Genomic DNA, 26,900 nt, shown 5'->3' with positions numbered 1-26,900 from the left:
ATTTTATTTTTAAAATATACAAAAGTTGGCCAGGCGCTGTGGCTCACACGTGTAATCCCAGCACTTTGGGAGGCCGAGGCTGGTGGATCACCTGAGGTCAGGAGTTCAAGACCAGCCTGGCCAACATGGTGAAACCCCCATCTCTACTAAAAATACAAAAATTAGCCGGGCATGGTGGCAGGCGCCTGTAGTCCCAGCTACTCAGGAGGCTGAGGCAGGAGAATGGCTTGAACCCAAGAGGCAGAGGTTGCAGCGAGACAAGATCGCGCCACTGCATTCCAGCCTGGGCGACAGAGCAAGACTCCATCTCAAAATAAATAAATAAATAAAAATATACAAAAGTAAAACACAAGTTCTTTAGAAAAAATTTTACAATGTACAGAATGAAAGTAAAACTCCTCCTTCAAACCCTTCCACATGTGTCCAGCTTCCCACAGAAAATGACTCTTCATTCTGAGTGGTTCTCTTTCGCTTCCTCTCCCATGCAGTGATCGACATACACACCTTATTTTTGCCGCACAAATGGGGTTATGCTCTACATATTTTTTCCTGTGACTTGTTTCTGCTTTTACTCTGTCATGGGTGTCCCTGTTTGGGAGCTCACTAGGATATCTCTTGTTTTTCATGTCTGCACAAGACTCCGTCACAGGACAGGCTCCAGTTTTCAAACACTCTCACATGCTAGAAACCTGGACACAAGTGTTGGCCCACCACACACAGTTCTGCCCCTGCTTTTTTTTGTTTTTGTTTTTTTTTGAGACGGAGTCTCGCTCTGTCGTCCAGGCTGGAGTCAGTGGCGCGATCTCGGCTCACTGCAAGCTCCACCTCCCGGGTTCACGCCATTCTCCTGCCTCACACTCCCGAGTAGCTGGGACTACAGGCGCCCGCCACCACGCCTGGCTAATTTTTTGTATTTTTAGTAGAGACGGGGTTTCACCGTGTTAGCCAGGATGGTCTCGATCTCCTGACCTCGTGATCCACCTGCCTCGGCCTCCGAAAGTGTTGGGATTACAGGCGTGAGCCACTGCGCCTGGCCTGTTTTTGTTTTTTTTTTTAACTTAACACTGTATCTTGGAGATTGTTCCATATCAGCAAACACAGCTTTCTTATTCTATTTATTTATTAAATAATTTTTAAATTATTTATTTATATTTTATTTTTTTGAGACAGAGTCTCGCTGTGTCACCCAGACTGGAGTACAGTGGCACAATCTCAGCTCACTGCAACCTCTGCCTCCCAGGTTCAAGCGATTCTTCTGCCTCAGCCTCCCAAGTAGCTGGGATTACAGGTGCCCGCCATCACACCCAGCTCATTTTTATATTTTTAGTAGAGACAGGGTTTCGCCATGTTGGTCAGGCTGGTCTCGAACTCCTGACCTCAGGTGATCCTCTCGCCTCAGCCTCCCAAAGTACTGGGATTACAGGTGTGAGCCACCGTGCCCAGCCTCTTGTTTTAATGACCGTTCCAGAACACATGAAGTCCGCCCATGCTGATGGACATGAAGGCTGTCTTCCATGTTCTCCTATTAGAATTCACAGTCTAATAACAACCTTGTATATTTGATATTTCACACACAAATCCATCTTCAGAAGATACTTCCAGAAGTGCCGCTGTTGAATTAAAGCTGCAGTTTAAATGTTCCTGGGGTCTGAACTTTGCTAGAGATTCACAATTTTCTCTCCAGGGAGGACATTTACACCCCCACGAGCAAAGCACGAGGGGGTCTGTTTCCTCGCATCTTCTGTAATTCAGTAGATCAGTTTTTTTTTTTAAATCTCTCCCAAGACAAGTGAAACCCAGCATTATCTCCTTGTAGTTTTAATTTACATTTCTGTTATTAAGAGTGCGGTTGATTTTTTTTTCTTGTCGATTTGTAGAAGTGTTTTATGCAGTAAGGAAACCAGCTTTTATTATGTTTTACATTTAAACTTTTTTTTTTTTTAATGACAGAGTCGCACTGTGTCGCCCAGTCTGGAGTGCAACGGTGCGATCTCGGCCCACTGCAACCTCCGCCTCCTGGGTTTAAGCGATTCTCCTGCCTCAACCTCCCAAGTAGCCGGGATTACGTGCACGTGCTACCACGCAAAGGTAATTTTTTGTATTTTTAGTAGAGATGGCATTTCACCATGTTGGCCAAGCTGGTCTTGAACTCCTGACCTTAGGTGATGTGCCCATGTCGGCCTCCCAAAGTGCTGAGATTATAGGCACAAGCCACTGCCTGGCCTACATTTAAACTTTTTATCCACCTAGAATAATTTTGGTATGAGGTAGGGATCCAGCTTTACCTTTCCCCAATGGCCACCTGAGCGGCCCAATACCATTTAATCAACCACCCATTCCGCACCACCACCCATTTATAGATGCCACTTTTATCAACTAAACGTGGCCAGCCACGTGGACACCCTGCTCTGGTGGTCTACGCCTGCTGCGACTGTGTCCTCGTCACCCGCACCAATCAGAGCCTTCACTGGCCCCGTCAATGCCAGCATTACGAATATCCAGGACAGACCTCAAGCAAGCCCCGTTCTCCCCCAATACAGGATGAAAGTGATGGACGGCTGTGGGGCCACAGTCTGTCCACCCCCGTCATGTGCGGCTCTGTGCTGAGGAGGCTCCGCAAAGCTGCCCATCATGCCCACCCTCACAGTGAGAACAGGGAGGCCCCTGGGACGGAACCCCTGCCAAGGGCGCGGCTGGGGTGTTTACCACCCTCAGCGGGGGTCTGGGAGCAGGGCCAGGCCAGAGAGAAGCCCGTTAGCCTGGGACCATCTTGTTTCTGGGAGTAGGGAGGGATGGAGAGGGACTCTTGCCAGTTTCCATGACAAAGCGCAGGGCTCCCGGCGTGTTAGAAACGGAGTCTCTTCAGGAGTTGATCTCCCCCTCCTTGCTGCCGCCTCCCCTCACCTACAGGCCACAGCCTATGTTTAGACTCAGTGCCCCACTCTTCTCCCTCACCCCACACCCCCGCCCCCACACACTGGGGATAGCAGGTGAACCCCGCCCGGCGAGGAGCCTAGACCCCGGTTGAGCGAGGGCACCGCATCTCCACCTGCCCAGCCCTACACCTGCCTGGGACTGAACGCAGCACGTACCCCGTCAGGCACCTGAAGCGAGGCTGGGTGCGGCCACCCCCCACAGACGAAGGTGCATTTATCTAAAAACTGGTTTTAGAAGCTGCTGCATGAACAATCTCCCAGTTCGCCTTTTTACTGTCCTGCTGAAAACCGATCTTCAAAATAACTCTGCTCTACTCAGTTAAGAAGGAAGCAGGTGTGTCCCCTGTGCCTGGAGTGGGCTCAGGACCAGCCCAGTCTCCATGCCTCAGGGAGGAAGGGGGTTCTCCAGCTCCAGGAATCTTGGGCCCAGGGAGGATGCGGCAACACCAAGGGGTGGGGGACCCCAGCACTGGGAGCCCGGGTGCAGGGCTGAGCCGGTGCAGGTGGCCTGGACCCCAGAGCTGGGAGCTCAGGCGCAGAACTGAGCCGGTGCAGGCGGCCTGGACCCCAGGGCTGGGTACAAGGGTTGTGTGGGTGACTCCTGCTATTAGGGCCTGGTGGTCACCTCTCTTCCCAGCCAGTGCCCAACCATGGTGGATAGGAGCAGGCACAGCGGCCGCCACCCAGGACATACCAGGTGGCGCTGGTGAGTGGCCCTGGCTGAGTCACCTGGCACATGAGCCTGGTGCTGTCATCCGGGGTGGGTGGAGTGCCCAGCCCTGACCAACCAGGCCCTCGGGGCCCCTGACGGGTCAGAGGGCAGTGGTGGCGTGTGGGCCTCCCTCCTTCAGCACAACCCAGTCGCCACCTCGGGGTGACGAAGGGGCCAGGTGGGGCTTGGTCTCTGGGGCAGGCAGGTGAGAGCATGCTAGGAGTCGAGGAACAGAGAGACGTGTCTGTGCATGGGCTGAAGCTCCAAAGACCCCGCACATACCCCATTGTCTCGCTGGACTCCCTAACACAAGTTACAAAGACTCAATGATTAGGAATTTCAAGGTGGGGACCTCAGTGTTAAACTCCGGGTGCAGGGCCCTGCTGGGCATGGGTCCCGGGCGACTGTACGGGCCACAGCCCCAGGATTCCAGCCCCAGGCACCTTGCTACCCTCACCTTGGCGGGAGGGGTCACACCACACTGATTCAGGGAGGGCCAGGATCAATTCCCGCTCTTGGGCCTCTGACCAAATGTCACTTCTCTCGAGAAGCCCATTCCTGACCCCCCTCCCGTCCCCATTCCCCCATACAAGCTGCCAGAGCCCCTGGATCTCTACCACGTCCACACCATAGGAACAGGGTCTTCACCCCACAAACCAACGACAGGGCCTGGCACAGGGCAGGCCCCTGCGTAGGCCCCTGTTGAAGTGACACATCAATGTACTTCCGTGGTTTTTCACCAGTGCTGTCCCCGCCGGGTCCCTGAGGACCGGGGCTGTGCGGTACCCTGCGTCCCATCCGCAGTGTGTGGCACCCAGTGGGTGCTCCAGAGATTTGCCTGAAGAGTGCCTGGAGGAAAGGTGGATCGCACAGCCCAGGCATGGGCTTGGAAGGATAACCAACAGGAGGCTGGGCCTGGGGAGAGGGACAGGCCGCTCACAGGGACAGGTCCTGTCCCGCAGTCCACTGCTTGGATCCTGGTGCCCAGTGCAGTGCCATTGATAGAATAATCGGTGGCAAGTCCAGGCTGGACCACAGGGAGCAGCAGGGGCGTCAGTCAGGCCTGGCCGGGAGAACCTCCCCACCCACCCTGCAGAGGCCACACGTGGGTTTGCTTCTCCCAGGACCCTGGTGACAGGATGAACAGAGGCTAAGGTTGTTTGCAGGAGGCACCACCATTCTGACACATTCCAGCAATGCTGGTGGCTGCGGCTGACTCCCCACAGACCCCCACCCTCGCTGCTGGGCTCCGAGGGTGCAACAGTTGCCCACATCGGCCGGTGCAGACCCCGCCTCACCCTCTGCTCCTGAGGGGTGGGGGAGTCTCCGTCAGGGCCTTGGGGGTCTAGGAAACAGCTGCCTCAAGGGCACCGTGGAATCCCCACGCCTGTGTCCCTACCTGTGAATGGAAGGATGAAGGCAGAGCTCCCACAGCCTCGGGACGCAGCCTCGGATTACCCCCGCCCCCACGGCTGGAGCTGACACAGGCGGGCAGGCACACCCACGGCCTCTGAGCCCCATGTGCAGTCCGGCCCTCACCGAGAGAGGCCGGCCGGCTGCTGCAACCTCTCTGCTCCTCCGGTCCCCTAACACACAACGGAGGGCCTGAGAGTCCATCCACACTGGCTGCCTGCAGGCCGCACTCACGTCAGCAGTGACTGCTCTTGGACTTCCTGTCCTTCGTTCCTCTTTTTCTGCCTGGGTCCAGCTTGGCTTTCATCTCCCTACGGGGTCCTGCCTCCCGCTCTGACCAGGCGGCCCTCACACTGTCCCGGCCTCCACCCCACACGCCAGGCCTCTCTCACTGCTGTGGAAACTCACCATGGGGCAGACAGGGAGCTCTCACCGCGGGCCACTGACCCACGTCTGCACTCCCATGCTTTCTGTCGTGAGCACCGTGCTAGGGTCACCCCAATTCACAGAAGCACACTGAGGCTCAGAGGCTGCCAGGCAACGTGTCCAAGGTGACAGACAAGTGGCCAGAGGGGACGGAACCCCAGGCGTGTGTTGCAGAGACCTGCTCTTCCCTCCTGTGAGACAGCACTAGGCTTTTAGCCTAAAGATGGCCAAGTCTCCTTCCTTTTCTCACCCCTCCCAAGTCAGGCATGGAGGAGCCCAGACATCCCATCTGGGATTTCAGCCTCACTCAGCAACCCCATCCTACCCAGCAGGCAAGCATCCTGAACCCCAAATCCCACTAACATGCAGATTCCTGCAGGACTCGGGGCTGACCAGGGACTTTTTAGACCACCTGGCCCTAGAGCAGACCAATGCCTGCACCTCCCCTGCAGAGAACACTGCTGTGAGGACCCAGGATCCAAAGTGGTGCAAGAGGGAAGGCCCGCCACGCCTCCACGCCCCTGTGCCACCGGGAGATGCAGCGGCGATTTCCTTACTAATTCTCAGTGCTCCAAGGGCAGGGCTACCACAGGCCTCGCCTCGCAGGACCTCCGAGAAGATTAACGAGATGTTTGTAATGCGTGTGCAGCTACCTGGAGCCCACGTGGAGGCGAGGGAGAGGAGATCCACGGAGCACGGCCTCCGGGACAGCCGGAGGGGGTGGGAGCTGGGGGTAGGGCTGTCTGGGTCCCAGTTAGGGCTCCACAGGGACATCCCTCCCCATTTTCACTGTGGGGACAGTGGAGGAGGCAGTGTCTGGAATCCAGTTCTTTGGCCTGTGATGGTGTGAGCACCAGGGCTGGGAGCTGGGCAGGAAAGGCCCCATTTAGAGACTGACAGCAATGGAACCAGATGAGGTATCTGGCCAGACTCCGCCAAGAAGAGCAGGCACACGACCTAACACTCAGCAAGCTCCACCCGTGCCCTGGCTCAGCTCATTTAATTCCCACCGGACCCTTGGCAAGGACAGGTGATTTTCTCCCATTTATAGAAGAGGAAACTGCATTTGGTGTAACAGATGCAGGATGAGTGTGACGGGCCACGCCATGCCGAGTGAAGCTTCTCCTTAACAGGGAGGCATGAAGGCTCAGTGAAGGGAACTGACTCACCCAAGTTCCCGTGAGTAGGGCCAGGATTTGAACAGGATCTGGAAAGGGCGTCTGCGGAGAGGTGAGGGACACAAGCCTGGGAACTGCCTTCAGGCTACACAGAGAAGGGACAGGCCCAGATGTAACCCCCAAACATGGACCACGAAAAACAAGAGACAGCAGCGCTGCTGTCAGACGCATGTGCCGGCTCCGGCCTCCAGATCCAGCAGCCGCGCAGGGCTGGTGAAGAGGCCAGAGCTTCCCAGAGGACCCGGAGCGGCTGGAGGGGCAGGGAGAGGAAGGAGGAACAGGCTCAGGCAGGGCAAGACACCAAAAGTTGGCCCACGGAGCCGGGCGCTGCGCTCTGCTCATCACGGTAGTCAGAGGATGCGGGATCCCCAGGGCAAACCAGCCAGATCGACGAAGCCAGAAGATAAGTTTCTGAAGCCACAGAGCCTGTTCAGAGCCGGTGTGCGCTCAGGATTTGCAGGTGGAATCAGAGTGTCCACCAAGGGCAGGGGCCTGTGCACGCGCCACAGGCTCAACACAGCCCAATGGCAGCCATGGCCTGGAGCTAGGAACGGGTTTTGCATTTTAAAGGGGTTGTAGGAAAAACAAAAACAAAACAAAACAAAACAAAACAAACAAAAACAGACAGAGAAGAGTATGTGACTTAGACTACAGGGCCAGCAAAGCCTAAAATACTCTCTAGTCCTTGACAGAAAAAGTGTGTTGATCCTACACCAGGGGAAGCTCCGGGAGGCCAGGATCTAACCCCTTCATCTTCAAGGCCCAGAGAGGGGTGGGACGTTGCCCAAGACCCCCCGCTGTCACAGGTGAGGACTAAGACCCAGGTGTCCCAATGCCAGGCCCTGCCTGTCATGCTGTCCTGTGCCCGTGAACCCACCTGGCCCCCAAAGACCAGATAAAGGGTCCTCACGCTCCCGACTTCAGCTTAGGGTGGGGCAGGAGTTCCTTCTGTCTTTCTGAACAGGGCTGGGGAAGTCGGGCGGCAGACAGAAGGACGATTGTTCGGATCAGAGCATGACACAGTCTCCACTGCCTGTGCTTGGCAAAGACAGTCAGCTGAATGGTGGCCCCTAACAAGGTAGGTCCACGTCCTAATCCTCAGAATATTCCATTCACGTCGGGAAAAGCATCTCTGCAGATGAGATCAAGGTACGGCTCTTGAGAAGAGGGCATCCTCGGTTATACAGGTGGGCCCTAATGCAATCACAGCTGTGCTCAGGACGGGGCAGAGGGAGCTAAGAGACAGAGAAGGAGAGGCCACGTGACGAGGGAGACAGCAGCAACAAGTGACGTGGCCACTCCAGGGAGGCCGGCAGCCCCCAGAAGCCGGAAGGGACCCTCCCCAGAGGCTGCAGAGGGGGCACGGCCCTGCCACACCCTCGTCTCGAGCTTCTGCCCGGAGCTGGGGGACTGCGTTTCTGTGTTTAAGCCTCCGGTTTTGTGGTGCTTTGTCATGGAAGCTGTAGGAAGCTGATATGGTCATGGAGGGGGCACACAGGCCCAGGAGCCGACGGCCTGGGTTCAGATCCCAGCCCTGCCAAGCTCCCACTCGGTGACGAGGCAGGCTGCTAGGCCTCTGTGGCCTCTGTTTCCCCATCTATAGAATGTAGGCAACAATACTGCTCACCTCACAAGGGTACAGGGACAGCTAAATTAGGGGTTCTCTTATATTAGACATTATCCATCAGGTGGCCATGCACCGTGGCTCATCCTGTAATCCCAGCACTGTGGGAGACCAAGGCAGGAGGGGGTCTGGAGAACCCAGAGCACCAGGCCAGCCCCTCTCTGGCTTGAGCCCAGGAGTTTGAGACCAGCCTGACCAACATAGGGAGACCCCTATCTCTACAAAAAAATTTTAAAGAAAATTAGTAAGGCATGGTGGTGCACACCTGTAGTTGCAGCTGCTTAGGAGGCTAAGGTGAGAGGCTCACTTGAGCCCAGGAATTTGAGGCTGAAGTGAGCCATGACTGCGCCACTGTACTCCAGCCTGGGCAAAAGAGCAAGACCCTGTTGCCAAGGGAAAAAAAAAAAAATAGGCCAGGCGCGGTGGCTCATGCCTGTAATATAAGCACTTTGAGAGGTCGAGGGGAGCGGATCACCTGAGGTCAGGAGTTCTAGACCAGCCTGACCAACATGATGAAACCCTGTCTCTACTAAAAATATAAAAATTAGCTGGGCATGGTGGCAGGTGCCTGTAATCCCAGATACTTGGGAGCCTGAGGCAGGAGAACTGCTTAAATCAGGGAGGCAGAGGCTACAGTGAACCAAGACCATGCCGCTGCACTCCAGCCTGGGCAATGAGCGAAACTCTGTCTCAAAAAAAAAAAAAAGAGAAAAAAAGAAGTACCTGTTATTTACCTGATATTCACATATGATGGGGCATCCTGCACTACCATTTGCTGATCTGCCCCATGGATCGAGCGGGCCTCTGCACACCCTGGTTTAGTACCTGGTGAGGAGGTGCCAGCTGCGACCAGGCTGAGGTTGGCAGAAGCCAGCCAGCTACCTGGGGGGCAGCGATGGGAACTGACTTCAAAGCTGAGGACAGGGCTGTGTCCCAGGGACCAGTGTTCCAACCAGGGACAGAACATTCTGGGAAGCAAAGGTCTTTGCCCCATCGGCCTCATCAAAGAGGGAGAGGGATGGGCTGGGGAAGGAGGCTGGGTCTGACGGAAGCCAGACTCGGGGCAGCCGGGAGGAAGAGGGGGCAGTTCTAGACCATGCTGAGCCGTGGTTGTTGAGTGCCTCTCCTAGGCCTGCTCCCACCCCCAGCTTCCTAGGACCCTCACCTGCAAGTGAGGCCAGGCCTTAGAGCTATGTGGGGCATGGGGCTGGGAGCGCCACGCCTCTAGGCCTGTCTCAGCATCTGTGAGGTGGGGCTCACCCCACAATGTTGGGGGGCCTTGGGAGGCTCAGAGGAGGTTGTTCCCTCAGAGCTCGGGTCCCAGAATCACGATTCTCCAAAGATTACTCCTACAGACCTAAAGCACTAAGCAAAGTGCGGGGTCCGGGGTCAGCAGGTCACAGCGGGGCTGGGCCGGTGCTGTCGGTTCTCCAGGGTGACCTGGCTCAGACCCTACCCCAAGACCCTGCACAATGGGGAGAAACCAAACCCGGGGAAGCCAGCCCACGCAGGGGCTTTGCAATGGGAGCCCCCGATATAACAGCAGGTCCCGGGCAGCCAATCGGCTCAGGGGTCCCGGATGGGAAAAGCCTGTGAGCTCACCCTGGGGAGAAGGTTCTAGTTTGGCTTCTCCGCCCAGGGGCAGGCCAGTGATCTCCCCCATAAAGACTGTGGTGCTCATGACCTCCCTCCCTGGAGTCAAAGGGATGAGCTCCGGCAAGGAAGAGGGCCGGATGGTTCCTGTTTATCCGTTCAAGGAGCACCGACCATTTGTCAAACGGGAGCAAACAGATGGTGGAGACGCCTCCTGCTCTGAAGATGCACATGGTTTTGTGTGGTGGCGGTTTCAGGGGACAGGCAAATGCGCTGGGCAGGGGCCAGGTTCACCCTGGAGATGCACTGGTGACCTGGGTCCTCATGACGCTTCCTTGGGCCTCTGCATACAGGTCTTGCTCTGCCACCTGCTAGCTGGGACCCTGGGCAAGTCACACAGGCCCCGGGGCCTCCATGTTTCCACATGTGAGCTGTGGGTCATACACCCACACCCCCACACCGCAGCAAGGATAAGGAGGGCCAGTGGCCTTCACTCCGGGGTGGCTCACCGTGGAGCTCCTGTTCCACCCTGGCCCCAGCCTCCACTCGCCGAGGAGACGGACGAATTATTACTATTTTTTGCGACGGAGTTTCACTCTTGTTGCCCAGGCTGGAGTGCAATGGCGCGATCTCGGCTCACTGCAACCTCCGCCTCCCAGGTTCAAGCAATTCTCCTGCCTCAGTCTCCTCAGTAGCTGGGATTACAGGCGCATGCCACCACGCCCGGCTAATTTTTGTATCTTTAGTAGAGACAGGGTTTCACCATGTTGGCCAGGCTGGTCTCGAACTCCTGACCTCAAGTGATCCACCCACCTCAGCCTCCCAAACTGCGTGAGCCACCGCGCCTGACGGGCCATATGATTTTTTTTTTTTTTCAGACAGAGTCTCATTCTGTCGCCCAGGCTGGAGGTGCAGTGGCGCAATCTCGGCTCACTGCAAGCTCCGCCTCCCGGGTTCACGCCATTCTCCTGCCTCAGCCTCCCATGTAGCTGGGACTACAGGCGCCTTCCACCACGCCCAGCTAATTTTTTATATTTTTAGTAGAGACGAGGTTTCACCGTGTTAGCCAGGATGCTATCAATCTGCTGACCTCGTGATCCACCCGCCTCGGCCTCCCAAAGTGCTGGGATTACAGGCGTGAGCCACCGCGCCCAGCTGGCCATATGATTTTTAACCCCTGAGTACTTCAGCGCATATTTCCTCAAAACAAGGCCATTCCCTCACATGAGCACAGAAGAGTCGATTCCACCACAACTCGACGTCTGCATTCCTAGAAATCACTGCATGCAAAACCGCACAGTCAAAACCACAGGGCTTGTTGGGGAATGGGGTTAGGGAAAGGGCACTCAAAACAGACAGAAACCCTAATAAAAACGGCAGCACAGCTTCACATGTCAAGGGGTTCAGAGACACATTAACACGGCACTTGGGCTTGAAAACGCTGTAAGTTTACCGAGGGAGGTGGGCTGGAGAGCTGGTGCAGAGTGGCAGAGACGGGGCAGTGGAGACGGGGAAGTTGTGCCCTGACGAGGATGGGGTCCCTGGGGCGGCTGGGGCTGTGTGAGGTGCGTATGCATCCTATGTGTTCCTATGTGAACACAGGTGCATCAGGCCAGCTGGGGGCAGTGGCTGTGTTCACCCAGTGCTTCTGGTGGGTGAAATCTCACAAAGGAAAACGGGAAACTTGTGTTATCTTGAAACTGTTCCCTGATATATCAATCATGCTGGAACCAACTCTCATTTTCAAAACAAGCTTTGTAGCAAAACCGACTGTCCAACTCTATCAAGAAATTAACCTTGGCCAGGCACAGTGGCACATGCCTATAATCCCAGTAGTTTGGGAGGCCAAGGCAGGTGGAGCACTTGAGGTCAGGAGTTTGAGACCAGCCTGACCAACGTGGTGAAGCCTTGTCTCTACTAAAGATACAAAAATTAGCTGGACACGTGGCACAGGCCTGTAGTCCCAACTACTTGGGAGGCTGAGGCAGGAGAATTGCTTGAACCTGGGAGGCGGAAGTTGCAGTGAGCCGAGATTGTGCCACTGCACTCCAGCCTGGGTGACAGGGCGCGACTCCATCTCAAAAAAAAAAAGAAAGAAATTAACCTTGAAACAATACAACCAGGAAATCTGTAGCCCTGGATCAAAACTTGCCGACTTATCCTGCCAACCCAACATGGCGTTTTTATGGTCCAAAGAGACAGGCTGGTGCCCAACAGCATGTGACGGCTGAGATTAGTGAGCTCAGGGCTTACCAACCAGGCAGCAGCAGCCCCGAAGGGGTGCTGGAAGTCCGTGAAAGGAGCCGGTGCTTTTCCCTGCAGGCAGTGGAAGGCCTGAAAGGTTTCAGGTAGGGAGGGCCATCCCAGGTCCCAGGCTGCCCCCTGGAAGGTGGATTTCACAGGGAGACAGACGGAAGAGGTTGCAACCCTGCGTGGGGGCTGAGGAGGGTCTGAGCTACATTTTAACTTCAAGATGAGCCAGAGGAAAGCAGCCTGCCAGTCAAGCCCCCAAGGCAGGTATGCACTTCTCCCAAACTCTCCGCATGGCTCAGCGGGGACTGGGGTCCATGGCCGGGACAGACTCTGGAGGGGCCACCAGGGGGCCAGGAAAGGAGGGCAGAGCCTCACTCAAGCCTGGTTCTCCCGCCTCATCCACCCCAAAGACCCTTGACCCCAAAACGAACATCCTGGAAAACAAATCAGGACACTACACCCAATTCCACTATAAACAACCACAAAATAAACCCAGGCCCTTATGCTGACGGTGCTAAAAAAAAAAAATCAGACGCGAGCCTAGTGAAGTCAGGCAGAGGGGAAAATCCGGCTGTCCTTTTGGTTTTGGTTTTGGGAGATGCAGAATGTGCTGCTGACAGAAACCATTCATTCGGCGCCCACTGACCCTTAAACATCGACAGAGTACACCGGGTTCCTCACACTCACCTCCCCAGGCAGAGGGGCTGCTATCTCGGCAGCGTAGGATATCTTGCCTCAAGTCACAGAGAAACAGCAGCAGAGCCCAGGCTCTGGGACCGGCGCTTCGGGATGTCCCTGTGCCCAGGGCAGGCAGGGGAGGCCTACGGATCCCTCTTGAGGGATGACCGTAGGTACAGAAAATAAAAGGTGAGGGGTTACAAGGGAAACCAAGTATTTTGAAATGTTAAATTCCTTAAAAATCAAATTTGTGAGACAACCATGCATAGCCGCCTGAATTAACATACTAAATAACAGGACGAATCTGTGAGCGTAAAATCAACTGCCACTCAGGAGTAGTGGTGGCGTACGTGCCCCTCAGCAGATGGGACGTGAGTGTGAGGCAATGAAATACCCCAGGCTTCCTGCTGGGGGCCAAGGCCCTGGCTTCGTAATTGGGGAAATGCTGAGTTGCACCCAGAGGCAGTGAAAACCACAGCATTGTATGTTCCCCTTCTAAGTCGAAGCCCCATGAATTCTCTCCCCGCCCCGTGGCGGCCTGCGGGGAACTCTCCGAGGTGCTGACCCTGCTCTTGGACGGGTCTTTGCTCTTGGACAGGGCTGTCCCGTGACTCTTCGTCTCTGAGCAGACATGGCTGGCCTTCCGGATAAAGTGGGGTGTGTTCTCGGCTCTCCCCCAGTCAGACCCTCGGCTGTTTCATCCCCCAGCCTCCCTGGACAGTCACACATGGTGGTGACCTACAATGTCGACCCCTCCCCAGTCCTGGACCCCCAAAGTCCAGCCCATGCTCAGAGCGGGAGGCTTTGCTCCCCCTAAAGAGAGTCCACTGCTATCTGCAGATGCAAAGGGCAGGCCCAGAGGAGAGCGTGGTCAGCAGAAACACAGCCCTCAAAGATGTCCCTGTTTTGATCCCCAGAACCCGTCTGTGAATGTGTCCCCTTATGTGGCAAAAGGGACTTTGCAGATATGACTGAGTTAAGGATCAGGAAAGAGAGAGATGACCCTGGATTATCTGGGTGGATAATCAGATGACCCCGAACCACAAGGGTCCTTGTAAGAGGGAGGCAGGAGGTCGGAGAGGAGAGGAGAGGCTGCCCCGCTGGCTCTGAAGGTGGAGGAGGGACCTCGAGCCAAGGAACGCAGGCGGCCTCTGGAAGCTGGGAAAGGCAAGGAACACATTCTCCCTGGAGCCTCCAGAAACTTATGTATTATAAATTTCGTGTTTAGACTTGGGTCCCATCCTCACGATATCTCATTATGTGCATACAAATATTCTACAACTTAAAGCCAAGATCCGAAACACTTCTGATCCCAGTCATTTCAGATAAGGGATTCTCACAGCCTGTACCATTGTCATTCCACTGGACAGATGAGAAAACTGAGTCTTGGAGGAACCATGATAGGCTATGAGAGATCCACTTGGATGTGTCCTGGATGGCATGGGACTCCCATAACTGGGTGGAGCTGTTTGTCTCCAGCCTTATATGGATGGCCCAAGAGGAGGTGCCCCCTCCTACAGACTAGCACAGTGAGGCTCAGACAGGCGATATGACAGTGTGATTGGGGGTCCATCTGTGGAAGAGGCAGCTGGTGGGGAGGCAGAGACTCACCTGTCCACTGCGAGGTGCGGCTTTGCCCCGAGCTGTGGCTTCCTCTACAAAACGGGGAGACTGGGAGGGCTGCAGTGACTACAACGGACATGTGCCAGACCCTGGTGTACTGGTCTGTGCTATCCCAGGACAGAAGCATGAGCAGTGGCGCCCAGTCCAGCCTGTGGCCTCTGGTGGGGGTGGGCAAAAGGGGAGCACGGAACCGAATTAGCTTGGCCACTTGGGGACAGAGCCCTGGGAGAGGCTCTCTGGGGAGGCCCCTTTCACTCCAGCCCTACAGCAGGGCTGGGACTCAATCCCAGGAAACCTCACTCCCAGGAAGTCCTCTGTGCCCTCCCTGCAGCCCCCTCTGTCCACCTGAGACAGTTTCAAAGCATCTGCTCTGGGGAAAAGCTCAACTCTCTGAAACAGAATCCAGGGAGAGTCTTTCTCAGAGGGACGCCATTGGCCTGCAAAGTTCTCTCCGTATTACTGAGACGCACAGCTAGTCCCTGTGCACTGCCGTCTCTCCCCAGGCTCGGAGGCAGGTCCTGTCCTCAGCTCCCCTTTACAGATGAGGAAACTGAGGCACAGGGAGGTGACGCTGCTTTCCCAGGGTTTCCAGGTGGCAGGGCTGGGGCTTGGTACCCCCGACCTCCACACTAGGAGTGACAGGGACAAGGAAAGGAATCCCCTTCACAGCAGAGCTCAACGGGCCCAGAAGGGACGGAGCAGGGCCATGCTATCCCTCTCCAGACAGCAGCTGCTAGATGCCTAATCCCCAGGCTGGGGGAGGGAACCTGGGAGGGGGAGTTAGTGTTTCAAGGGTCCAGGGTGTCATTTCTGCAAGGTGAAAGGAGTTCTGGAGATAGATGGTGGTCATGGTTGCACCACATGCTTAATGCCACTTACGGTACACTTAAAAATGGTTAAAAATCATCCTTTTTTTTTTTGAAATGGAGTCTTGCTTTGTTGCCCAGGCTGGAGTGCAGTGGTGCTATCTCGGCTTACTGCAACCTTCGTCTCCTGCGTTCAAGCAATTCTCCTGCCTCAACCTCCTGAGTAACTGGGATTACAGGCACCTGTCACCACACCCACTAATACACTACTAATTTTTGTATTTTTAGTAGAGATGGAATTTCACCATGTTGGCCCAGACTGGTCCAGAACTCCTGACCTCAAGTGATTCACCCACCTCAACCTCCCAGTGCTGGGATTATAGGCGTGAGCCACTGTGCCTGGCCAAAATCATACATTTTATGTTGTGTGTATGTGTGTGTAGTTTTCTTTTTTTTTTTCTTTTTTTTTTTTGAGACAGTCTTACTCTGTCACCCAGGCTGGAGTGCAGTGGCTTGATCTTGGCTCAGTGCAACCTCCGCCTCCTGGGTTCAAGTGATTCTCATGCCTCAGCTTCCTGAGTAGCTGGGATTACAGGTGCCTGCCACCATACCCGGCTGAATTTTTTTGTATTTTCAGTAGAGAGGGGATCTTGCCATGTTGGCCAGGCTGGTCTCTAACTCCTGACCTCAAGTGATCCGCCTGCTTTGGCCTCCCAAAGGGCTGAGATTACAAGCATGAGCCACCACACCCGTCTGTTCCAGCAGCCGTCGCGACAAAGCCAGGCATGGGGCAGGCTGCATGGCTTTCGCTGTGGCCGCCGCAGCTGTCCCAGACTAAGTGACCGCCCAGGTCTGCAGCTGCGACCCCGCCTCCAGCAATTGCACCCTTATTCAGCTGCTTATTGCTCAGCAAGACACCAGCCAGTCAAGCTGCCCTGCTGGGCAAATAATTAACTGGGATGGCTGGGTTTGGAGAGGAGGAAATAGGGGCTGGGGGGCCACCCACCCCTGCCTCAGCACCAGCCCCACAGCAAGCCCCAATCCACCTTGTCCCTCTCAGCAGGCCCCAGGTGAGGGGTGGCTGGAGGAGAGAGGGGCTTAGGAAAGGCAGCTCTTCTTGACCACCCACTGCAGGGGGGTGAGTCCTCCTGCTCCACCTGCTGGGGCCTCCTGCTTTACAAATGCCCACACGGTGTCACCTGGACGCCTCTGGGGCCTGCCCTCCACGACATCATGCCCTGGGTCTGTTTCAGGAATTCACAGGTGAAGAGATAGAGAAACAGGGGGGTTGGGGAGAGAGAGAGAAGGGGGAACAAAAGCAGAAACGGAGTGACAGAGAACGAGAAAAAGAGACAAGGACAAAGAGTGATGGAGAAAAATAGGACAGAGAGACAGAGAGCAAAGCAGATAGGGAGATAGAGAGGAAAAGAGAGGGAGGGACAGAGAGGGAGGAAAAGAGAAAGGGAAAAAGAGAGGGGGAGAAGCGGGGAGAAGGAGAGAGAGAGGGAAACAGAGAAAATTCCTGTCCTAACTCTCCCACCCTTTTTTCAAAGGCAGACAATGCAGAATCCCTGCCGGGACGCCTGAGCTGGGGTGCAAATGCCGTGCACTGTTTGGTAGCCCTGCGACCTCAGGAGGTCGCTATAGTAGCCAGCTCCCTGGTGTCCATTCACTGTTTGCTGAATACCTGCCCTGCACCCAGGTTGGTGTTGGGCCCATTAACACACAGGTGGTGTCTTCACACTGAAGCGTGGGCCGCATGGTGCCTTCCGGGGTAGGAGACCATCTTGTGAAGACCAGGGTGTGGGCCCCCAGTCCCCTCCACACCCAGGAAGTCTTTGCTGCAGAGGGGACATTTATGTCCTGGAGCGTGACCACTGTGAGGCCAGGTTGGTAGAGACAGCTGTCCATCCCCTGGCAGCCACCAGCTCCTCCTCTCCCACAGCACTGAAGCCCCATTGTCAGCCAGGCACATGCCCCCAGACTAAGGACTACATTTCCCAGCCTCCCTTGCAGCTAGGTGTGGTCACGTAACCGAGTTTTGGCCAACAGAATGTGAGCACAGTCCTCGGGGCAACTCCCAGGTTGCATCCTTAAAGGACCAGCTCATGGTCTTCCTGTGGTCATGGGGGTAAGCTAGGGTCACACCCCAGAGATGGACTGGCTCAAGACAGAAGAGGCCTGGGCACAGTGACCTCAAGAGCAGTCTCCACAATGAGTGACTGGTACTTGAGAGAAATGAGTTTTTCTCGTTTAATACAACATCCTTTCTATATATGATTTTTTTAATATAACATAAAACTTGCCACTTTAACAGTTTTAAAGTTCACAGTTCAGTGGCATTCAGTACATTCAACGCTGTGCATCGGTCACCGGTCCACTTGCAGGGTACTGTCGTCGCCCTCAACAGAAACCCTACACCCATGAAGAAGCCACTCCCCGTTGTTCCCACCCCAGCCCCTGGTAACCCAGTCCACTCCCTGTCCCCATGAATCTCCCTGTTCTAGAGATTTCACATGCCACATTTGTCCTTTTGTGACAGGCTTCCTTCACTCAGCATCACTTTCTCTGGCTCATTCATGCCGTGGCAGGTGTCAGACCTTAAGATACTGTTTTTTTAGGTCTGGTCAGTTTGGCCTCCTCCTTTTTATTTATTACTGTTGCTTGAGAAGCAGGGCTCACCCACAGGCAGGGTGCTCAGCGCTGGCCTGGCCTCCTCCTAACACACCAGGTGCTCCAGGCTGAGTCCCCCTCAGGTTCCTATGTGAAGCCTCCGCTATGACAAGGGCCTATATGTGGAGATAGGGCCTTTAAGGAGGTAATTAAGGTTAAATGAGGCCATATGGGTGGGGCCCTAATCTGATGGGACTGGTGACCTTATAAGAAGAGGAGGAGAGGGAGATCCTCTCCATGCACCAAGGAAAGCCCCGTGAACAGAGCGAGAAGGAGCCCGAGGAGTGATCCCCTGTCGGAACACCACAGGCACCATGCATTTGGACTGTCCAGTTTTCAGAACGGGGAGAAAATGCATTTCTGCCACCCACTCTATCGTATTTTGTTATGGCAGTCCAAGCTGAGCCACAAGGCAGAGGAGAAAGGCGGACACCAGGAGAGAGACGAGCACATGCCCATGGCACGTAGGGGCCCCCGTTCCTCCTCGTCCTCTGTCCTAACTGCCCCTGACCCGCCAGCTGCACGTTTTTCCTGCAGGCTTGAACCCAAGCCAGGGCCTCGAATGTTCCCAGGCACTGACTGATTCATTTATTCAGGGTGTTGCCCCCAAACACTGCAAGATCAAGCCTGGAAACTGGGCCCGGCCCTGAGCCGAGTTCCTTCACCCTCATATGAACTCCGTAATCTGATCCCGTCGTTGCAGACATACCGGGGCAGAACGTGGCTCATCTCCCCATTCCCACAGGAAGCTGAAGCCCCCTCTGTAAGTCCCCCAACAAATGCCATGGACTGGCCACTCTGGTGTTTAGAGCTTCCTTTGCTGGAATCCTAACCCACCCCCCGTCTCAGGAAGGTGTGCATCCAGTCCTTTGTGGGAACTCTCCTGCCTGCGGCTTCTGGAGTGACTCCAGCTGAGGGTTCGGCTGGAAGGAACAGCATGAAAGACTCTGTTTCCTGGGCTGTAAAATAGGTGTCACGGCACCTGCAACACAGAGTGTGCTCTGAGATAGGCGGGCAGAGACGCCCTCAGGGCTCCTGGCTCACAGCATACACTGGGCTGACCAGCTCAGGAAGGGAAGTTCACGCCATGCACCCCGATCGGTTAACTTTCAAGGGGTGCAGCTTGCCAATAATCCCCCAAGAGACCCACTATCGAGGCTCCACTGCCACGCAGCAGTGCCCCACTCCCAGCAGTCCCACTCAGGACATCTATGCAGAGACCAGGAGGGCATGTGGGCAAAGGGAACGGCGCAGTGACAGCAGCAGAGTGGCAAGTGAGACCCCTGAGCGGACTCAGGGCCAGGCTCACAGTCAGCACTGTCGAACCTCATTCAATCCAGAGCCTCCTACGAGGTGGGCAGAGCAGACGCAGGGACCATGAGATGGCCAGACTGGTTCCCCACACGGGGGGCCGAGACGTGGGCTGGTGCCTGCACTGCACTCATTACGTGTTCTGAATATCGCCCTTGGAAACGGTTATGACTATTTAGGGAATACAGGAAATTAAAATAGAACATTATTGGCCAGGCATAGTGGCTCACGCCTGTAATCCCAGCACTTTGGGAGGCTGAGGCAGGAGAATTTTTGAGGCCAGGAGTTGGAGACCAGCCTGGTCAACACAGTGAGACCCCATCTCTACAAGACATAAAAATGTTAGCTGGGCGTGGTGGTGCACGGCTGCGGTCCCAGCTACTCAGGAGGCTGAGGTGGGAGGATCGTTTGAGCTCAGGAGATCGAGGCTGCAGTGGGCTATGATCGTACCACTGCACTCCAGCCCGGGGGACAGAGCAGAACAACACCCTGTCACAAAAAATAACACCCTGTCACAAAAAATAAAATTATTTGTTTTGTAACCAGGGAGACAGAGGCTCAGCAAAGTGAAGCCATTTTCCCTGGTGGCCACGCAGGGAGGCCGGAGGGCCTGGCAGGCTGCGCGCCTCGAATATGCAGCCCAAGGGCCCTGGCGGGGGTGGCGGGAAGGCCCAGGAAGCCCACAGCGGCAGACTCGGCTCTCCCATCTCCGCGGTTACTGCCGATGCAGGGTCTGACCCTGCCAGACCTTCAAGGAGAAACCAAGCAGAGCCCCACTCGAGACACTCGACTCCCAGGCGCTGCCCACTGACCCCAGGCAAACTGGCCCCTGGCTAAGGAAACTTGCCGGGCCATGCCCCCGGGGGACTGCAACAAAGAGGAGCTGGTTTGCGGTGACAGCGTTTTCCCGGAGCCGCACTCCGGCAGGGATTTATCACACGTTCTTGTCGAAGGCCACCAGGTGACCAGTGGACATGCGTGGTTACGCCGGGCCGAGTGGTCGCTGGTTCCTGTGAGAAGAGGGCAGAGCGGTGGTCAGAGCCCACGGGAGCAGCATCTCCACGTGGTAGGCAGGCCTCAGAGGTGCTGCTGGAGAAGCCCCTGCAGCTTACTGCGCAGCGAGCGTGTGGGGTTTGCGTCCTGCCCCTGCAGACCCCAAGGAAAAAGCAGCGAGGCTGAGGTGCTGATGGTCATGACTCTGGGGACATTCTGGTGGCAGGGATGACCTGAGCATCCCAGGGCTCCTTCCCATCCCATTCCCCAGCTGCCACCGGGAAGCAGAGTCTAGCAGATTGTCGTGCCTGAGGCTCAGATGAGGAAACCGAGGCTCTGAGAGGTGAAGGTCTGCACCAGGTCGCACAGGCACAGGCTGGTCTGACCTAACCACAAAGAGGTGTTCATCTTTATTAGGAAGTTCCTCTCCTTCCCTCCTCCCCCACCGCCTGCTGAATGCTGAGAAGGAAGCTGACCTAGCTTCAGGGAACTCACCATTCCAACAGTACAGAAAAACTCTACTATCAGATAAATGCCCACATAAAGGGGGACAAGTAAGTGTTTCAGGATCTGAAAAAAGGGAGCAGCCAACCCCGTCTGGGAGTTGGGGATGAGTCCAGAGAGGCGCATCTGAACTGAGTCTTGAGGGATGCATTGGAGCTCACCAAGAAGGAAGGGCATTGCCAGCAGAGGGACCAGCATATGCAAAGAGGAAGGCACAATGTATTCGTGGACCGCCCAGAGGACGGTGGGCAGATGTGCAGAATATCAGCCAGGCAACAGCCGAAAACAAGGCCAGAACTCCATGAGGGCCGCACGTCCTGCTGGGGAGCCTGGTCTTCATCCTGGAGACTCTCACACAATGGAGTAGAGTGATCAGACTGCCACTCTGCCATTCTGTTGCCTGCAGAGATGACCGCACCAAAGATGGGCAGCTGGCTGCCTTCCTGGAGGCGAGTGTCGTGGGCAGGGGTCATGCCCCACTCTCCTTGTTGTCTCCTCTGCACAGGTGTAGACAGCAGGCCTCTGTCCCACGTGGCATTCTGTGTGTCCGTGTCTCTTCTCCTCTAAGGACACCAGTCCCACTCGACTCCAGAAGGACCTCATCTTAATTATATCTGCAACGACCCTATTTCCAATTACAGTCACGATCACATTAACTGGCATGAACTTTAGGGGGACACTAAGCACACCCGTGATGAGAACTGTGCTACCTCCTTCATATACATAACCCCTGACACATCTGTCTCGCTGTTTTAATATTTTTACGAGGCTGTGTTATAATTTTAATGAGAAATAAATTTTAAAAACTAAAAATATCCCCCTCCATTTCAGGTCCTTAAAGGCTGCATTTCCTAGACGGCCCACTAGAGTGTCCCAGGCAACTTTCCTGTAGATAATGCACCCTCACTGGGGCCTACCTGTGGGGCTTCCTGCTGGGCCTCCCTCCACCCTCAGCTCCAGGCATGGCCAGCAGGGATCCCTCACTCACTGGAGAACCCTGCAGCCAGCAAGCCACAGCAGAGAGCAGAGCGGGGACAGGCAGGGGCCCCAAGGCACAGCTCACAGACCCCAGCTTGGGGCAGGCACACGGCAGGTGCTGGAGACACAAAGGGATCTGGAAGCCCCTTTCAGAGCAGGCATCACCCTGGGTTTTACACACCCCCAGAGCCACACTGTTCAGAGGACATTTCAAGGCCATCATCAACAAGGATCCCTGAGCCCAGCCTGGGTGTGAAGAATGTGAGAGGAGGAACAGGACTGAGAGCAGAGGCCTGGGTGAGAATTCTAGTCCCCCCCGCAGGCACTGACTGGCTTGGAGACCACGCACTGCCCTCCTCAGCAACCAGGCCCCAACTTCCCCCTGCAGTTCACTTCCTGCTATGCCCGCAGGACAGTCCTGAGCCGACAGAAGAGCCTGCCTGGTGACAAGATTCTCAACGCAGCCACCAATTAGCTGTGTCTGTAGTGGGTGCAGGGCAGGAAGAAGAGTGGCAGAGGTGCCCAGGACTTGTCACCTCTGATCTACATGCCCAGTCAAGGCTGCATTCACACGGAAAAATCACAGACAGGGACATCAGCTGACAACCAGCACACCGGCTGCCACCACAGTCCTGCTGACTGCCAGAGATCCAAGGGCCTCAACTCACGAGAGTAGGCACCATCATCTAGGTGGCCACCTCCGTAAGCTCCGCACCTGCCTGGCCTCCAGGACAGACGGGGGCTGACCCCAGCCAGGCCATCCTAGCCCAGCTGCGTGCACCCTCCCCACACGCTACTCGGAAGGCGGAAGCAGGAGGATCACTTGAGCCCGGGACGTGAAGGTTGCAGTGAGTCGTGATGGCACCACTGCGCTCCGGCCTGGACGGCAGAGTAAGACCCTGTCACGAAAAAGAAAAAAGTTATGTTTCTACTATATTGTAGTCTATTAAGCGTGCTATAGCATTATATCTTAAAAAATTGCAAATCTTAATTTTAAAATACTTTGTTGCTAAAAAATGTGAACAATAATCTGAGCCTTCAATGGAGGATCTTGGCTTGGCTGTGGGTGATCAGCGTGGTGAGTGCCGAAGGCTGAGGCGGCAACTTCTAACAGGCTGGGCGCGGTGGCTCACGCCTGTAATCCCAGCATTTTGGGAGGCCGAGGTGGGCGGATCTCGAGGTCAGGAGATCGAGACCATCCTAGCTAATACGGTGAAACCCCATCTCTACTAAAAATACAAAAAAATTAGCTGGGCACGGTGGTGGGCGCCTGTAGTCCCAGCTACTTGGGAGGCTGAGGCAGGAGAATGGCGTGAACCTGGGAGGCGGAGCTTGCAGTGAGCCAAGATCGTGCCACTGCACTCCAGCCTGGGCAACAGAGCGAGACTCCATCTCAAAACAAAACAAAAAAAAAACGACAACAATGTTGGCTGCATCAATGAACTCTTCCTTTCACAAAAGATTTCTCTGTAGCATGTGATGCTATTTGATAGCATTTGACTCACGGTAGAGCTTCATTGGAAACTGGAGTCAATCCCCTCAAACTCTGCTGCTGTTTTATCAACTAAATTGAAGGAACATTCTAAATCTTTGCTGTCACTTCAACAATGTCTGCAGCATCTTCGCCAGGAGTAGATTCCATCGCAAGAAACCATTTTCTCGTTTCACCCCTAAGCAGCAACTCCTCAGTCTTTCGAGTGTGGTCGTGAGCTTGCAGCAATGCAGTCCCATCGGCAGGCTCCGCTTCTAATTCCAGTTCTCTTGCTATTTCCACCACATCTGCAGTCCTTCCTCCACTGAAGTCTTGAGCCCCTAAAGCCGTCCATGAGGGCTGGAATCAACTTCTTCTAAATTCTTGTTAATGTGGATGTTTTGACCTCCAACCTTGAATCACGAATGTTCTTAATGGGATCTAGAATGGTGAATCCTTTCCAGAAGGTTTTCAATGGACTTTGCCCAGATCCATCAGAGAAATCACTATCTATGGCAGCCTTACTAAATGTATTTCTTAAATAATAAGACCTCAAAGTCAAAATTAGTCCTTGATCCACAGCTGCATGCTGGATGTTATGTTAGCAGGCACGCAAACAACATTCATCTTCCTGTACATCTCCATGGGCGCTCCGGGGTGAGTAGTAATATTTTAAAAGGAATCTTTTTCTGAGCAGTAGATCACAACACTGGGCTTAAAACTATTCTGGAAACCATGCTGTAAGCCGTGCAGCCATCCAGGTCTTTGTTGTTCCATTTCTAGAGCACAGAGTGGATTTTACACAATTCTTATGGGCCCTAGGATTTTTGGAATGTTCAATGAACACTGGCTTCAAGTTAACATTTCCAGCTGTGCTGGCCCCTAACAAGAGAGTCAGCCTGTCCTTCAAATCCAGCCATTAGCTTCTTCCTAGCATGAAAGTCCTAGATGGAATCTCCTTCCAATAGAAAGCTGTTCCATCGACACTGAAAATCTGTTTAGTGTAGCCACCTTCATCAACAATCTTAGCCAGATCTTCTGGGTAACCTGCTCCCTCACCTTGCACTTTATGTTCTGGAAGCGGCTTCTTTCCTTAAACCTGATGAACCAGCCTCTGCTCGTTTCCAGCTCTTCTGCAGCTTCCTCACCTCTCTCAGCCTTCACAGCATTAGAGTTGAGCCTTGCTCTGGATCAGGCTTGTGGTTAGTTTGATCTTCTCTTCAGACCCTAAAATTTTCTCCATATCAGCAATAACATTGTTTCACTCCCTTATCATTCATGTATTCACTGGAGTAACACTTTAATTTTCTTCAATTACTTTTCCTTTACATTCAAAACTAGGCTGCCTGGTGCATGAGGCCTGTCTCGGCTTTTGACACACCTTCCTCTCTACGCTTTATCATTTCCAGCTTTTGATTTAAAGTGAGAGATGTGAGACTCTTCTTTCACATGAACACTTAGAGACCATTGGAGTGTTATTAACTGGCCTAATTTTAATACTGTTGTGTCTCAGGGAATAGGGAGACCAGAGGAGAGAGAGGGATGGGGGAGCGGCTGGTTGGAGGATTGGTCAGAACACAGAGCATTTATTAAGTTCACTGTCTTATATGGGTGCGATGTGTGGCATCCCAAAATAACCACACTAGTAACCTCAAAGACCACTGATCACAGATCACCATGAACAGATATAATCATGAAAAAGCTTGAAATACCGTGAGAATTACCAAAGTGTGGCACGGACACACGATGTGAGCACGTGCTGTTGGGAAAACGGCACCAAGAGGCTTGCCCCATGCACGGGTGCCACAAACCTCCAATGTGTAAAAACACAGCGTCTGCAAAGCACAATGAAGCGAAACCCCCTGAATCAAGGTGGGCCTGCCCCCAGAACAATCCCTTCTCCTCCTCTCAGCTTGGGTTTCTGCTTTGCAAAACCCCTTGGCATCCCTTCACAGCAACGTTTGCACGAGACGCAGCAGAGAGGGGGTCCCAGCAGAAACAATCCCATCAAATCCTGGCTGAGCTTTTGCAGGCTTTGCGGGGCTGCAGGAGGCATAGCTTTCACATGGGCCACCCCGTCTCTCCCTCTCCCGCAGCAGAAGCAGCCAATGGGTCACACTTGAGATGTCTCCTTCACCCTGGGGTTCTGAGCAGGTCCCAGGGGCCAAAGTGGGGAGGGGGACGGGAAGGAGAAACGGGCTACAATCTGCCCCATCGCCCCCAGCTCGGCTTCCACCAGAGCTTTCTGCTTTTATTTGGTTTCCACGGCGGGTGGGGATGAGGGGGCTGTGAGAGTTGTTGTGGCAGAGGGTCTCAGCTGTTGAAAATGAAGCCATGTCACACTGCAGGACTTTCTTCTCTAGGATGGGTGACACATTTACATTCCGATTCCCAACCCAGGGCCTCTAGTGAGCAGCAGATCAAGGACAGCAATTGAGTTTCATCTTCTAGAGCAACCCGGGCTTCGAGGAGGACTGTGATGAATTCCTATGTCCACCCGGGGACAGCGAGGCATTCAGGACAGGCAGCGCCGTGCAAAGGTGCCCTGTGTGTGCCCTCCTGGCAGGAGATGAGTCATGAAAACGTCTTGAGTGTGTGAAGGCAGGAGGGGCCGAATGCCCTGTGGTGCACTGCTAGGCGACACGGCAGGATGGGGCCATCTCAGACTTTCACTAGTGGGAGTTCCCACTGGGGTGAGGCTGACCCCACAGGAGAATGACACAGAAGAGACTGCAGCCCCTTCTCACATGACCTCAGCTCCGCGGGGCCACTGGCTCCCGCCCCTCTCTGCAGCAGAGGGTCTCACCCAGACGGAACCTCCTGGAACCACCAGCTTCACCCCTCCCTCGTCTCCACTGCCACACCCTTGCTGGGCTGGACTCTGCCTCCGACCCGTGTTGTGGCTGCGTGTGTGATGCCTCATCTCCCCGTGGGGCCAAGGCCTCCCGGCGGCAGCACCCACACCAGACAGGAGACAGCCGGGGACGCTCAGGCCAGCAGCATCTGCGTCCTGGGGACCAGGTCAGCATGCAGGTGCTGGGGCCCCCACCTAGACATGATGAGACAAAGTCTGGGGCGTGGGGCCTGACCACCATTTCTACAAGCCCTCCAGGCACCTGGAGAGCCTCGAAGGCTCCGAACACTGGGCGCATCCCAAACAATGATGTCACATGGCCGAGGAGGGTATCCATCCTGTGCCTTAGAACCCATGGTGACTCCACCCTGGGCTGAGTCCCAGCTCCCCCTCTCCCAGCCCAGGGCCGGGGCCAGTCCCCTTAGCAGTGCAGGACCTCAGTCTCTCCGAGCTCCACACCTCCCGCCCCGTTTTCCAGGAAAACCCACTTCCCTTCCCTGCAGAGCTGCTCTCCGGGGAAGGGCCCGGCACTCCGCGGAGGACACCGCAAACCGTTTCTCACTTCACGCGGCCTGACAAGCCCTGCCGGCCGGGGCGGGTGAGGACAGTGCCAGCTGCCCTACAACTCCCTCGCATCTCTCGACTGTGATAGTGGCAGGAGCCCGCCCGGGGCCAGTCACTCCTCAGCCCACGTGGTGCGGCCGCTCTCATGCTCCAGTGGAGGGTTGGCCCTGGGGCTGTGGGCGCCTGAGCCAGCCATTCATCAGCTTCACTCTCCAGGGCGGCAGACTCTCTTCCCTCCTTTTTTTCCTTTTTTTTTTCCCCAAATTCTAAGTCCATTGAGAAAGCACAGCTCCAGGCCCTGCAGCCCAGA

General features: G+C 55.0%; 1 protein-coding gene across 2 annotated transcripts in view, besides 8 other annotated features; it reads right to left on the bottom strand.

The window, feature by feature from the left end:
- The window catches only part of JPH3 (junctophilin 3), a 96,322-nt gene that overhangs the window by 23,068 nt on the left and 46,354 nt on the right, over positions 1-26,900 (bottom strand). The gene's annotated exons all lie outside the window — the stretch shown is intronic.
- Positions 11,774-12,724: an enhancer, noted in NCBI's record as "H3K4me1 hESC enhancer chr16:87695971-87696921 (GRCh37/hg19 assembly coordinates)". NCBI's record gives its function as "activates a minimal SCP1, AML or CMV promoter by ChIP-STARR-seq in primed H9 embryonic stem cells {active_cell/tissue: H9 hESC(primed)}" and the evidence as "EXISTENCE:reporter gene assay evidence [ECO:0000049][PMID:30033119]".
- Positions 15,297-16,030: an enhancer, noted in NCBI's record as "H3K4me1 hESC enhancer chr16:87692665-87693398 (GRCh37/hg19 assembly coordinates)". NCBI's record gives its function as "activates a minimal SCP1, AML or CMV promoter by ChIP-STARR-seq in naive H9 embryonic stem cells {active_cell/tissue: H9 hESC(naive)}" and the evidence as "EXISTENCE:reporter gene assay evidence [ECO:0000049][PMID:30033119]".
- Positions 16,031-16,764: an enhancer, noted in NCBI's record as "H3K27ac-H3K4me1 hESC enhancer chr16:87691931-87692664 (GRCh37/hg19 assembly coordinates)". NCBI's record gives its function as "activates a minimal SCP1, AML or CMV promoter by ChIP-STARR-seq in naive H9 embryonic stem cells {active_cell/tissue: H9 hESC(naive)}" and the evidence as "EXISTENCE:reporter gene assay evidence [ECO:0000049][PMID:30033119]".
- Positions 16,031-17,500: a biological region, named in NCBI's record as "H3K27ac-H3K4me1 hESC enhancers GRCh37_chr16:87691195-87691930 and GRCh37_chr16:87691931-87692664".
- Positions 16,695-17,103: a silencer, noted in NCBI's record as "fragment chr16:87691592-87692000 (GRCh37/hg19 assembly coordinates)". NCBI's record gives its function as "represses an EF-1alpha promoter that drives an FKBP-Casp9 reporter gene in an ReSE screen in HepG2 liver carcinoma cells {active_cell/tissue: HepG2}" and the evidence as "EXISTENCE:reporter gene assay evidence [ECO:0000049][PMID:32094911]".
- Positions 16,765-17,500: an enhancer, noted in NCBI's record as "H3K27ac-H3K4me1 hESC enhancer chr16:87691195-87691930 (GRCh37/hg19 assembly coordinates)". NCBI's record gives its function as "activates a minimal SCP1, AML or CMV promoter by ChIP-STARR-seq in primed H9 embryonic stem cells {active_cell/tissue: H9 hESC(primed)}" and the evidence as "EXISTENCE:reporter gene assay evidence [ECO:0000049][PMID:30033119]".
- Positions 17,132-17,426: an enhancer, noted in NCBI's record as "tiled region #988; HepG2 Activating non-DNase unmatched - State 20:ReprD, and K562 Activating DNase unmatched - State 20:ReprD". NCBI's record gives its function as "activates a minimal TATA promoter and a strong SV40 promoter by Sharpr-MPRA in HepG2 and K562 cells {active_cell/tissue: HepG2 | K562}" and the evidence as "EXISTENCE:reporter gene assay evidence [ECO:0000049][PMID:27701403]".
- Positions 17,266-17,345: a silencer, noted in NCBI's record as "silent region_7839". NCBI's record gives its function as "represses an Ori minimal core promoter by ATAC-STARR-seq in GM12878 lymphoblastoid cells {active_cell/tissue: GM12878}" and the evidence as "EXISTENCE:reporter gene assay evidence [ECO:0000049][PMID:35858748]".

The sequence above is a fragment of the Homo sapiens genome, chromosome 16, assembly GCF_000001405.40.
Source record: "Homo sapiens chromosome 16, GRCh38.p14 Primary Assembly".
NCBI classification, from domain to species: Eukaryota; Metazoa; Chordata; class Mammalia; order Primates; family Hominidae; genus Homo; species Homo sapiens.
Note: the sequence above shows the minus strand (reverse complement) of the source record. Positions and strands in the feature narration are given on the sequence as shown.